General features: G+C 36.4%; 1 long non-coding RNA gene and 1 pseudogene across 25 annotated transcripts in view; one reads left to right on the forward strand and one right to left on the reverse strand.

Moving 5' to 3' along the window:
• The window catches only part of LOC102724542 (uncharacterized), a 368,996-nt gene that overhangs the window by 3,492 nt on the left and 350,268 nt on the right, over nt 1-15,236 (forward strand). The gene's annotated exons all lie outside the window — the stretch shown is intronic.
• On the reverse strand, nt 11,009-11,098 carry RNA5SP99 (RNA, 5S ribosomal pseudogene 99; annotated as a pseudogene).

The raw sequence follows: 15,236 nt of genomic DNA on the forward strand, positions 1-15,236 counted from the left end.
GACATTTTAAAATAAAGCATTAAGATGTTGATTAAACATCCGACCTTAAATTTGATGTGTCTTTAAATTATAATTTGTAACTTTTTGTTTCTTTTCTCTATAATTTGTAACTTTTCTTTTTTCTTTCTCTTTCCCTTTTGTTTTTCTTTATTATAGTGGTGTAATTTAAAATCAGTGGCTTCTTAAGCTCAAAAAAATTTGTTTTCTATCAAATCAAATATATGTTATGTTTGTATATCTGTATGTGTTTACAAAACTAGTGGATAATACCTGCTTAAATAATTGGTTTTCTAGAAAATTACTGCTTTCAGGATGTCCATGGGGATATAACATTAAATGCCTACATTACTAGCAAAGTTATCATATGGCCCAAGACTTTGTTTATAGGCTGTGGTAACCAGCCTTTCAAATAGACCCCCGTGATCTCTGCCTCCTGGTATTCACATTCTCATGTATTGCTTCTTACATTTTACTAGGCTTGGTAGGTGTGATCATTAGCATATGGTAGAATAAAAATGTAAGAAAATATTTTTATAAACTTGGAGATATGAAAAGTTTTCCAAAGTCATAAACAATACTCCGAAACAAAATAAAATATTTACTTGTCTGAGTATAAAAGCATTAACAAATACTATGGCAAAACAAGGTTAAGAAACATAACATTTTTTTCATTAAAAGTTTAAACAATAGCACCATAATTTGAAGAAAATTTAAAAAAATACAAAAGAAATATCTATAACAAAGAAGAATCTACAAATTTTTAAGGTAAAACATAATAAAAACAACAAATGGGCTAAAAGCAAATGAATAATACCTTGAAGTAATAGCAATAAAATTGTATTAACACATTAAAATACATGATAATTCAAATTAAGGCAATAATAATATGTCATTTCTGACCCATTTCATTAAAAATTTAGAATGAGAGATAGTAATTATTGTAGTCAGGGGGATGCAGGAAATGTTACATTATAAATAGTATAATCTTAAGGGCAATTTAGTAGGATATATCCAAATAACAAAGTGTACCTTCCCTTTAAAGTATTGATACTCTTTCTAATAACAGTATATAGAAAAACTTACACATATGAAAAAATATATGACAATGATATTTATTACAGCAGATTTTATAATAATAAAATTTTAGAAATAACACAAATGTTCATTGATAAAGGAATACATAGTTATCATACATGCATATTGTTGAACCCCACATAGCAATTAAAAACAGTGATACCTATCTATATGTAGTGACCAGAAATTATATCTAATATTGAAAAGTAGATTAAAGTGGATTATCTTATGTGATACCAAAGGTACAGGCAACTAAATAAAAATAGACAGACTGAACTTCATCAAAATTAAAAACTTTTGGCCAGGTGAGGTGTCTCACGCCTGTAATAGCAGCACTTTGGGAGGGAGAGGTGGGGGGATCACTTGAGGCCAGGAGTTTGAGACCAGTCTGGCCAATATGGTGAAACCCCATTTTTACAAAAAATACAAAAATTAGCCTGGCATGGTGGTAAGAGCCTGTAATTATAGCTACTAAGGAGGCTGAGGCACCAGTATCACTTGAACTGGGGTGGCGGAGGTTGCAGTGGGCCAAGATTGGGCCACTGCACTCCAGCCTGAGTGACAGAATGGGATATCACCTCAAAAAAATAAACAAAACAAAACAAAACAAAACCTTTTGTGCATGAAAGGAAACTGTCGATGAAATAAAAAAAGCAACATACAGAATGAAAGAAAACATTTACAAATTATGTATCTGGTAAGAGAAACATCCAGGATGTAGAGAGCATTCCTAAAACTCAACAACAATAAAAACTCAATTCAAAAATGAGATTGAATAGACATTTCTCCAAAGGAGATATGCAAATGACCAATAAGCACCTGAGAAAGTGCTCAATATCATTGATCTTTAGGGAATGCAAAACAAAACCAAAATGACATACTATAATATGTCACAGTGCAAAAGTCACAGCATTCCTATACACCAATAACAGACAGAGAGCCAAATCATGAGTGAACTCACATTCACAATTGCTACAAAGAGAATAAAATACCTAGGAATCCAACTTATAAGGGATGTGAAGGACCTCTTCAAGGAGAACGACAAACTACTGCTCAAGGAAATAAGAGAAGACACAAATAAATGGAAAAGCATTCCATGCTTATGGATAGGAAGAATCAATATTGTGAAAATGGGCATACCACCCAAAGTAATTTATAGATTCAATGCCATCCCCATCAAGCTACCAATGACTTTCTTCACAGAATTGGAAAAAACTACTTTAAGGTTCATATGGAACCAAAAAAAGAGCCTGCATAGCCAAGACAATCCTAAGCAAAAAGAAAAACGCTGGCGGCATCGTGCTACCTTACTTCAAACTATACTACAAGGCTACAGTAACCAAAACAGCATGTTATTGGTACCAAAACAGATATATAGACCAATGGAACAGAACAGAGGCCTCAGAAATAACACCACACATCTACAACCATCTGATCTTTGACAAACCTGACAAAAACAAGCAATGGGGAAAGATTTCCTATTTAATAAATGGTGTTGGGAAAACCGACTAGCCATATGCAGAAAACTGAAACTAGACCCCTTCCTTACACCTTATTCAAAAATTAACTCAAGATGGATTAAAGACTTAAACGTTAAGACCTGAAACCATAAAAACCCTAGAAGAAAACCTAGGCAATACTACTCAGGACATAGGCGTGGGCAAAGACTTCATAACTAAAACACCAAAAGCAATGGCAACAAAAGCCAAAATTGACAAATGGGATCTAATTAAACTAAAGAGCTTCTGCACAGCAAAAGAAACTATCATCAGAGTAAACAGGCAACCTACAAATTGAGAGAAAATTTTTGCAATCTATCCATCTGACAAAGGGCTAATATCCAGAATCTACAAAAAACTCAAACAAATTTACAAGAAAAAAACAACCCCATCAAAAAGTGAGCGAAGGATATGAACAGGCACTTTTCAAAAGAAGACATTTATGCAGCCAACAAACATGAAAAAAATCTCATCATCACTGGTCATTAGATAAATGCAAATCAAAACCACAGTGAAAAACCATCTTATGCCAGTTAGAATGGCGATCCTTAAAAAGTCAGGAAACAACAGATGCTGGAGAGGATGTGGAGAAATAGGAATGCTTTTACACTGTTGGTGGGGGTGCAAATTAGTTCAACCATTGTGGAAGACAGTGTGGCAATTCCTCAAAGATCTAGAACCAGAAATACCATTTGACCCAGCAATCCCATTAATGGGTATATACCCAAAGAATTATAAATCATTCTACTGTAAAGACACATGAACATGTATATTTATTGCAGCACTATTCACAATAGCAAAGACTTGGAACCAACCCAAATGCCCATCAGTGATAGACTGGATAAAGAAAATGTGACACATATACACCATGGAATACTATGCAGCCATAAAAAGGATGAGTTCATGTCCTTTGCAGGGACATGGATGAAGCTAGAAACCATCATTCTCAGCAAACTAACAGAAGAACAGAAAGCCATACACTGCGTGTTCTCACTCATAAGTGGGAGTTGAACAATGAGAACACATGGACACAGGGAGGGGAACATCACCTACTGAGGACTGGATGGGTGCAGCAAACCTCCATGGCACGTGTATACCTATGTAACAAACCTGCATGTTCTGCAAATGTACCCCAGAACTTAAGTATAATAATAAAAAAAGTTCTTCAAGTAAAATGGAAAAAAAACCCAATGAAGTGTTGGCCTTAATGTGGAAAAATTGGAACCCTTGTACATTGCTGATGGAAATGTAAAATAGATACAGCTGCTATAGAAACAGTATGGTGGTTCCTCACAAAACAGTAAATTGAATTAGCATATAACCCAGCAATCCCACTTCTGGATTGGGGTATATTTCCTTCTTATTTTTAAAGAAATGAAAAGCTGGGTCTCAAAGAGATAGTCATATATCCATGTTCATAGAAGTATTATAGAACAACAGCCAAAACATGGAAGTAACCCAACTGTTCACTGATACATGAATGGATAAACAAAATGGGATATACACACACAATGGGACATTACTCAATTTTAAAAAAGGAGCAAAATTTTGACAAATTCTGCAACATGGATGAACCCTGATGATATTATGCCAAGTGAAATATGCCAGCCACACAAAAAAATCAAGTACTGTGTGAGGTACTTAGAGTAATCAAATTCATAGAGAAAGTAGGATGATGGTTGCTAGAAGCCAGGGCAGGAGAGAGGGGAATGAGAAGCTGTTTTTTAATGGGTATAGAGTTTCAGTTTCATAAGTTGAAAAGAGTTTTGGAAGGTGGATGCCCAACAATGTCAATGTACTTAACATTACTGAACTTCACATTTAAAATGATTAAGATGGTAAGGTTTATGTTTTATGTATTTTTCTGCAATTAAAAAGTAAGAAAAACTTAAAGCAGCTTATGAAATAATATGGACAGTATACTCCTGTTTTTACAGAAAATACATACATAATCTGCGTGCGTTTGTAAAGTATATTGAGGGCTAAAACTCTGAAAATTATAAAAGGTATTAGGGTGGAACTAAATGAATTTTCACACTTCATAGTTAAAAACTGTTTGCATTTTTATGAGTATGTATTATTTAATTTAATACCACGGAGAATTGAAAAATAAGAAAAGAACAACACATTAGTGGATTGTAGAATTTCTCATGTAAAATGATAGCTTGATAGACAATTTGTACAGCTCCTCTCATTTGTCTTTGACTCAAATTATTTAATTTGGAAATTACTAACAACTGCAAATGCAGATGTAAGGTTCACACTTGAATTTAGAATCAAAATCATCTTAGCTAAGGGGTTATAGGAAAAGGAAGCCAGGAAGTTTGCATCTATAGGTAATACTGATAGGCAGCTACCCCAATACTCCATAAACTCTTTTTTTTCTATACCTTTTAAAGTTGATGTTCATTTTTGCCATATTGCATTAAAACATTTCATTATGTGGCAAAGAAAAGCATGTGAGTCATAGCCCCATTTATTATTTTATCTAGATTAGTCCTGGACAATTACCTAGCTACATAGAAGCTAACCTCCCAAGTTGGAGAGAAGGAAAATAACTTCCTTTCCTACTCAATCAACTGCCCAGTCCCTAAGTTCCCTAGCCTCTTTTATGTCAACTACCAACTGCATTTTGTCTGTAATCTTACTTCTGAATAAACAAGGTGTATGGGAGTCCCGAAAACACTGTTATTTTTATGAAGCCTGTCCTAGTCTCTTAAATAGGGAAAGTCACTCTGAAGTCATTACTATTGGTCCTCAGTGGGTGTGGGGGTTGGGGATAGCATTGGAATTTATCTACAAAGTAAGTTCTGCACCTTGTTATAATGTTTATGCTGCTTCCTCTTCCACCTAATTTCAATATAGTCTCAATAAAGCTTCTTCTTTAAGGGTTATGCTCCCCAGGATGATTTGGACTTTTCTGTAAATAAAGTAATTGAGTTAAAGGGATATAAGCTAGGAGTGGGGTATAAAATTTATCTGAGAATGAGTATATTATTCATTTGAATGGAGCCTGCAGAACCCACAAATTACAATAGCTGTGTGGCAGTCAGGTCTACCTATGTGCATGGCCTGCTATAGCCAGGCAGAAAACAGTACCATGTAGTATTTAAATAACACTGATAATATTTATTAAGAACTTGCTTTATATCTTGCACTGTTTTAGGTGCTGGGCTTTAGAATTGGAGAGATCTACATTCTAAATTCACTCTATCATTTCTAGTTGTGTGACTTGGGGCAGATTTCTAACTTCATTAATCTTTTGCTTATTTCTAAAGTAGAGATATGAAAACACTTGCCTGGCAGAATTGTTGTGAAGATTAAATCTATCATGCATTTTATGTGTTTAGCAGAGCACCTTACACAAAATAATCATTTGCTTGTATTTTAATTATTTCCCATAGACTGGCCTCACTATGATTTTTGGTATTCTGGTTTATGACTCAGAAAATCCAGCTATTTTGCTTCACTTTGGTCAAAGCATATGTTAATGAATTTTTATTTTCACACTCTGTTTAAAGCAACTAGGTATAACTTCTATTTCTTCTTTCTGTCTCCCACTTCCCTGTATATTTCTTAGTGTCTTAATGGCTGACAGCAAGGTGATGAAATTTCCATTTCAAAATAGAAAAAGTCACAATTTTCAAAGCAACAAATTTAAAAAAGACTTTTGACTCTGTTGTATCAGATACAATAGAATTACTTCTACTTACTGCCGGGCGCAGTGGCTCATGCCTGTAATCCCAGCACTTTGGGAGGCTGAAACGGGTGGATCACGAGGTCAGGAGATCGAGACCATCCTGGCTAACACGGTGAAACCCCGTCTCTACTAAAAATACAAAAAATTAGCCGGGCGTGGTGGCAGGCGCCTATAGTCCCAGCTACTCGGGAGGCTGAGGCAGGAGAATGGCGTGAACCCGGGAGGCGGAGCTTGCAGTGAGCCGAGATGGCACCACTGCACTCCAGCCTGGGTGACAGAGCGAGACTCCGTCTCAAAAAAAAAAAAAAAAAAGAAGAATTGCTTCTACTTACTATTGTGTTTTCGATGAATATTGTGGTTCCACAGACTTTGATTATATAGTAATCTCATCCTCCAACCCTCCTTTTATTAAAAAGTAAATGCATATATGTATATATAAATGATGAGCACATATATACATACACACATAATTTGTTTATTGATTTTTCAGCACCTGCACATTCAGAAACAATCAGAGCAGAGCAAGAGAGATTACCTGTAACCCAGGGTCACTTCTGTCTCTGCCAGAGTGGGCTGTGTAAAAAGGCAGACTAAGTGACCACCTTCCTTGAGTTAACCAGATGGTGCTACTTAGCCTGAAAAATATCACCTCCCATTGGGCCTTGTAAGGTCATTGTTGGAATGCAAAACTACTTTCTAGGGGAAGGTATCATGTAAAGAGAAGTTAAATAAAATGAGGGAAAAGGAATTTCCAGGACATAGAAGCCTAAATATTGTGATGTTTTCAATTTAAATATTTTGGGGGGGTTGTGAACCTTTTAGGGTCAGAAAGTGCATTTATGGCCTGAATAAGGGCAGAGACGTGATGAGTGATGAAGGAGAGAATGCACTGGGAGCACACACTGTCTGTTTAAGATTAGTGCCCCCTCTTGCTTTAATAGGAGTGATAAAGAGGGTTTAGGGTGGGATAGAGGTAGAGATTGGAGTGACCAACTGGAAATACATACAGTATTCATAGACATTTTCTTTTGTCTGAATGGAGATACTCAACTTGGTGGCCTTCATTGACCTCCTTATCACAATGCTTTGACTCTGGTCACTCAGTAAGGTCTGGAGCACTTGAGATGTTTAATTTTACAAATCTGAAAGCTAATTACATGGTGATGTGGCTGGCTGATTTAGAATTGATGATGTCTGTTTTATATAATCCCTACCACCTCTCAAGTGAAGCAAAGTTGGGTCACTTGACCGGTTTTACTCAATTTCTTGTATCAGTTTATGAGGATGCAGCTGGGATCCTAAAAGCAGATCTCAGGTTATTATTTTAGAAATTTTATAGTATAACAAGGCAACAGGCTACGCACAAGCAGAATCATGTTCATAGTTGGTACTAAATGCATCTTTGTTAAATAAATTAATAAATATCACTGCTACTCAGTTCAATGGGATATTGTGTAGTATATTAGATGATATAATTCTACTTTTTCTTGATATACATTGTGTAATTTTAATAAAGACCAAACTTATATGAGACAGGGTAGGCAATTGCCCCATGATCTCTACTCTAAGGCTTCCATGTAGTGCATCTGCAAAAATCAAGAGCAAAAATAACTTCTCTACAGTGATTCTAATGAGTGACATTTTACCTCTGGAAGTTTGTATTCTTGGAATTCATGAACATCTTCTTTCTAATAGTAACTTTACGTTCATTAAGCCTCTTATGTTAAAGGGCTTGATTACATGTCTTGATAGATTTTGAAAAATATTGTAAAAATGTAGTTCATGAAAATCATCAGCAAAAACAATATTGAAGAGATCATAACTTTTATAGGAAAATGAAAGCAAAAGGAAAATAATGTTCAGATATTTGGTCGTATCGGGCCCAGAGAGAGAAGAGACCCTATTTTGTCAGAGTAGTCAAGTTGTATTAGTCCATTCTCACACTGCTATAGATACTACCTGAGACTGGGTAATTTATAAAGGAAAGAGGTTTAATTGACTCACAGTTCTGCATGGTTGGGGATGCCTCAGGAAACTTACGATCATGGGGAAAAGGGAAGCAGGCATCTTTTTTCACAAGGAGGAACTTCCAGACACTTATAAAACCATCAGTTCTTGTGAGAACTCACTCACTATCACCAGAACAGTATGGGGAAAACCGTCCCCATGACCCAATCACCTCCCTCCCTTGACATGTTGGGATTACAGGTCCCTCCCTCGACACAGGGATTATAATTCAAGATGAGATTTGGGTGGAGACACAGAGCTAAACCATATCACAGGCCTTATCAGTAATTTAGTAATACATAAAGCTATAGATTTAAATGAATTCATAATTGAACACAAATTGCAACAGATCAATAATGAGTGCTGACAGTTTTGTATTTGGAACAGTCCTAAAGTTACATTTGTATGTATCTTGAATGTCAATCATAACTGATTAATTAGTGGGAAAATGGCAGTATAGAGGCTGCGTATTCACTGTTGTTATAACCATGTATTGTAAGAAATGAATATGTAGTGTTAAGAAAAAGTTGACACAACTCCAGGCAATGGAATTAAAATGGCATAAAAAGGACAGCATAGGAAAGCTCAGCCTACCTTTCTGTCAGCTTTAACCTGTGTGCCCCTCCCTAAGCAAATGACAGTGCTGCAGATGACACCATCCAGCAGCCTTGAGAGATATTTTCTGTGATGAATTGGCAGCAGAACAGCAGTGATCTCTACGTTTTTACTTCTATCTTTTGTATTAAATTGCACAACCTGAGGACAAGAATTCAGCTTTTTATCTGAATGTGTATTGGGGTTTGCTATGTGAAATGTCTTCATTATTCTCAAATAACCTTTCCCTTGAATATAGAAACCGTCACCCTCGACAAAACATAGCAGTCCAAAGAGATCATCAATATTCAGTCTTCTTTCCAGATGTTGTAAAGGAATGAGTGAGTTCCCACAATGCTTTAGACTAATTTCACAGCGAGATGTAAAAGGAATAAATTTCTTCTCACTCCAGCCAACAATCCGTTAAAACTCTGAAGCATAAGGCCAGGTATTTCTCGCACAGTGGTTTTTGTCCCATTGACTATACGTATGTGCCATTCTTATTCAAGACAATGACTGACTCCAACCGGCCAACCAATTTTCTCTATAGAACCTTGAAACTGCTAATACCTGATGGTGAATTTAACACTACTGGCAGGATACTTGCATTTATATATATTTTAAATATGTCTGTAAAATATGTGGCAATTTTAGCTTGGTGAAGGAATTTATCTTTTCTTCATCTCTAACTTAACAACATACTGAACCACTCTCATAGGCAGAGGTGGTACATCAATCCTGTTGTACAATTACTCTATGACAGAGAGTCCCAGTGTTAGTGCCAACAAAGACCTCAGAATTCATCTGGTTGACTTACTGAAATCTGGAGAGGTTACGTTACTCATAGTCTCTTATATAGCAGTACTAAATTTAATTGTAGACTAAGAATAATCTGTAATTATTCTTGATTTGTTTAATAACAGAATCAGTTCCAGAAACCAAATCACCAAGTCAAATATTCTTTCTATCATGTACTCCCTGTTAACCAAAATCTCATCATCTAGTCTTTATTTTAAAGTAGGGAAGGGGGAGGAAGAGGAGAAACTATAATTTTTAAAATATTTATGATGAATAAAATATTATGCTAAATATTACCACACATATCTAATCCCCAGAATGCCCCTGCAAGTTATGTATGAATATCACTAATTTTTATATTCTAGCAAAATAAAATCAGAATGTTTAATTACTGTTGCCCAATGCTCTACAGTTAACGAAACATCCATGAATCTACTTTGTACAATTCTGTTGCTAAAGTTCAACTGCAAAAAAAAAAAAAAAAAAAGAATTCTTCAGGTTCTTTTGCAGGGGCAACCTGGAGTGCTCTGACTAAATACCAAAGATAAATACTGAGGTTATGTTTTCTGCTGTCCTTATTAGTCTAACTCTTGTTTCCACTGTCCATATCAGTCAGGGGAACAAAAAGGAAATTTAGATGAAATAGTTATGGAGAATGAATGTGCTTTGCCTCTCTGTCAGCTCTCCATGGTATCACTGCAACCATGACTCTTCCGTTTCAGTTCTATCTCCTGTTTGTAATGGAGCTCACCTCTCATCCTTGCTGGTGCTATCCACTTGGTACAGGCTTGTTTTTCTCAACTTGTATGATTCTGTTGCAGAACCAGTTTCACTAGTTGTCACTGCTCGTGCCTTATAATGTCTCCCTACCAAGTCACTGCTAATGTTATTCCTGCTTCCTGGTTTAAACCTTGCCAGAGTCACACCTTGTCTTTATGCTTACCTTTGCTGCCATCACTCCTTATGTCTCTGCTTATGTTGTCCATTTTAATACCAGCTCCATCACAGCTGCAGCAAGGCTCACAAAAGTGCAAGAGTATTCTTCTTGAGTCCTTTCATTAGGATTCAACAAAGCCCTTCTCTTTCTCTTTTCTTATGGATGCTCCAGGGTTGCAAATAATATATTAATCTTGGTCCCTCACTTTTGAATCAGCCTTGCTGGTTACATTTTTAATATGTATGCTTACCTTTGCTGCCATCACTCCCTTTGCCTCTGCTAAAGTTGTTCATTTTAATAGTAGCTCTATCAGAACTGCAGCAAGGCTCACAGAAGTGCAAGAGTGTTCTCTGTTTCTTGGGTCCTTTCATTAGGATTCAACAAAGCCCTTCTCTCTTTTCTCCCATCCAAGTACTAACCAGGCCTGACCCTGCTTAGCTTCCGAGATCAGACGAGATAGGGCGCATTCAGGGTGGTATGGCTGTAGACGCCCTTCTCTCTTTTCTTATGGATGCTCCAAGGTTACAAATAATATATTAAGTTTAGTCTCTCACTTTTGAGTCTACCTTACTGGCTACATTTTTAATATGTATGTCAACATGGCAGAGAACACTAAATTGCTACCATAAATTGTTTCAAAGAAACAGTGTTTTATCTTGTTATTATCAATCCATCTCTCAGTCCAGTGTCGAGACCCTTCATCTCTTTTCTTCCTCAGGATGCACTTTAAGGGCACATTTCTGAATACTGGAAAGAGATGTGTGCACCAAGTTTCATTTGGGAGAGAATGTCGAGAGACTCACTCCACATTCCTGATATGATTCTTCAAAAGTTTTCCTAAAAGACTCATTAAATGCTCATGCAAAGAAAACTCCTGTTATAACATCTGACTTCTCAGCATCTCTTTACAGTGTATGTCAGTTAGAGTTCCTTCTGGAAGTCTCACAGCACTCACTCTGGCCAAAATTAAATAGAACTTGTCTTAGTAGGCTGTTTCTTCTTGTTATATATTTTACTAGAATTATTCAATTCAACCAGTGACTACATTCACCTCTTAAGATAACACAGTGGTTTACCTCAGCAGTCACAATTACCCTAATGAGTAAATCTGAAGAGGTTCTTTAAATGAAGTTGCTAGGAAAATATTTCAATAATTGGAAAGAGCGTGGGGCTCCTCCAAAAAGCAGGTATTTAGGATGGGTGTTATAATGGTGAGACTCAGAAGAGCAACATATCAAAGAATTCAGTCAATGATAGGGAAATAAAAATGAAGGGAGAGATTGCAGGGAACTAAGAAAACAAACAAAAGAACCCGTACCATCTAGATTGCAATATGCATGAATTTTAGTGAAGATAATATTGCTCCAGATGTGGGGACAGTGGTGGTCGAGGGTCACCACTTTCATGAATGGTCATCAATTTTAATGAAGGCATAAGATGACATGTTATTTTCAATTAAAAGAAGAAAATACTCCCAGGGTACATCAAATTCATTGATTATTTTTTCTCCTTATTCCTGGCTGTTTCTACTAGGTGTTGTACTTCTTGAGTTTTTTCTTTTTTATGATTGGCTTATCTTTTGCTATTGCTGTGGACTAGATGCCACTTGGCACCACCATATGGGCTCGTTTACTTCCTGCTATTTTATTTTTTTTTCCAGGTGTCCAGCTTCAATCAGAGTCCAGTGTATTCTAGATTATGAATATTTAATAATTAGTCACTTGCAGTGGTTCTCCTACCATGCCATAGAGAAGGCATGATCCCTGCCCATGTAGATATAATATGGGTCCAACTATCCTGCTCCTTCCTCCTTAAATGCATCAGCACATATTCAGGCATCTGTCTGTAGTGCTGGTTGTTGCTCTCCCGTCCAGGAGCTGGTAGGAACACAATGACCACAGATACGGCCTAAAAAAGGGTTGAGTGTCAAAAACATGCACTTCCTTGCTTTTTTACATTTCTTAGCCTTTGGTAAGAATGTTCATCACATCTACCACCTTCACACTCATCCCAACTTCTGGGAAACTTAATTCAATTTTGTTACTTATTGGAATCCTAGTCTGAAAAACCAGCTGATTGACTGCATGGGATATTAATAATTTAATGATATACTCAATCCACTTGGGAAAGCTCAAAGTCCTTTATAGTGAGCAAAAGAAGAGCTAATACCCTGGATCATTGAGAGCTACTACCCTGGATCATTATGGGGTTAAAACCTAGGCCAGGGTATCGTAATACAATGGTTTGGAAATGAGTGAAGAAATCAGAAAGCTATACATTCAAATCTTGCTCTCCTACTTTCTCAACGAATAACATGATTTAGGTTGTGTGAACTTCATTTTCCTCTTTGTTAATACAGACTTAGCTGTGTATATGACTTTTGTTAAGACTGAGTGAGAAAATGTATGTAAAGAGCTTAGCTCAGGCTCAGTACAAATGAGCACTCATTAAATCAAAGCTCTTGTTATGATTAAGAATTAACAGCATCCATTTACAGGTTTTAGTGTTTCTGTGAATATTTGCTCTGCTTTTGCAAATACCCCCTTTGAATGTTGGTTCCTCCTCATAGTTGGTGTAGTCTAATAGGATTGAGGCTTTCTCCTGACTGGGAGAGTACCAGGCTTAGGAGTGACTGAGCTCCTGTCTATACATGAGAGAAAGAGACAGCCTTTGGTTTTTCCTTTGGTGGAATTTTCCCCGTGTTCTCTTTTTATTTTCTTCTCTTTCTTCTAAGACCAAGAAAAGCATGGATGGGTAAGATGAAAAGGACCAAAGAATAACTCATCCTGGCTTATAGGCAAAACTCTTTATAGAGCTTCAGAAAGATGTTACAAGAATTATAGAGCCTTTATACAGCTTACTAAACTACTCTGTGCTTCCTTTAGGTCACACAGTTTTTGGTTTAAGCCAAAATTCTCAGCATTATATGTTATCAGAGGATTACTTTTCATTCTCTCTTAGGACCCTTTTAAAATTGGGTGTGATTATTGTGTGTTTCATTACAGATTCATATTTTCAAAAACTTGTCAGGATATAGTTCCAACTTTTTATGATCAATAGATTGAAACAAAAAATTGTCACTGAGCAAAATCAATGATAGTGGATTAAGAACTTTGTAAGTTCCACCATCACTGGAAGTAATTGTGTTCCAAACATAAAATCAAAGCAGACATCATCATTGCCTCAAATTATGATTGTCACAGTTTTTTTTCTTAAGTTCAATTTAGGCTGAAATGTTTTGATTTGTGATAAACTAAATATCTTTCTGAAATTAACAGGCATTATCTAAGAAGATCTCAAAAAAAAGCACTTAAAACATAGCATATGGCTTGAGATCCAGGAGGGAGAAAATCATTACCAGAGCACATAGAAAATACCAATTAAATTAAGGTTACCACCTGCCTGGTCTCAATCAGGATATTTCACAATAAAAGGTCTGTGTCCAATATCTTGATTTACTTTATTTCTAAACCAATCTTTTCCCTTGAGGTTTGAAACCTTAACTTTCACTATATCATTCAGCTAATCTCTATACTCACAGCCATGCCTATCTTCAGAGAAACTTATAATTTATTGTTAGGATTGTTATCAAAAATTCTTTTTTTTTTTTTTTTTGAGACAGAGTTTTGCTTTTGTCACCCAGGCTGGAGTGCTGGATCTTGGCTTACTGCAACCTCCGCCTCCCAGGTTCAAGCTATTCTCTTGCCTCAGCCTCCTGAGTAGCTGGGATTACAGGCACCCACCACCACACCCAGATCATTTTTGTATTTATTTATTTATGTATTTATTTATTTACTTTTTGAGACGGAGTCTCATTCTGTTGCCAGACTGGAGTGCAATGGCGTGATCTCTGCTCACTGCAACCTCTGCCTACTGGGTTCAAGAGATTGTCCTGCCTCAGCCTCCCAAGTAGCTAGGACTACAAGCATGTGCCACCACACCCAGCTAATTTTTGTATTTTTAGTAGAGACGGGGTTTCATCATGTTGGCCAGGATGATGTCGAACTCCTGACCTCAGATGATCTGCCTGCCTTGGCCTCCCTAACTGCTGGGATTACAGGCATGAACTACCACACCTGGCCAGGATTGTTATAATGAAATTCTAATAGGACACCTACTCATAGTCTTGTTCTCTTCCCATCTATCTACTACATTTTTTACAGAACAATTTTTCTAAATTGTATACATGATCATGCTATTCTTCTAAATCATTTTAGTGACCCCAAATTTTCTTCATGAAAAACTTCTAAAGCCTTTGACATATTGTTAGTACAAGGCCTCCACTGGTTTTCTCTATATACTGCTCCTTCTCCCACATGTACCTGTAACTTAGACATTTCAGATCATCTCCAATTTATTATCACCAACATGCAATTTCTCTTGCAATTTTTGCTGAAAAGAATGTCGCTCTTCTTTCTTCCCAAGTCTTTACTAATCCCATAGGTCACTAGGCTGTATGAGGGCAATCATCGTGTGAGTTGTGCTTCCTATTATATTTCCAGCACTTATTAGAGTGACTGTTAAGTAGTGAGTAGTCAATAAATAAATTTTCTGAATAAATGACAAATTACCCAATTTAAACATAACATCATCCAGAAAATTGTCTTTAGATTCTGGGCCTTACTAA

Source organism: Homo sapiens, chromosome 2 (genome assembly GCF_000001405.40).
Source record: "Homo sapiens chromosome 2, GRCh38.p14 Primary Assembly".
In the NCBI taxonomy this organism is placed as follows: Eukaryota; Metazoa; Chordata; class Mammalia; order Primates; family Hominidae; genus Homo; species Homo sapiens.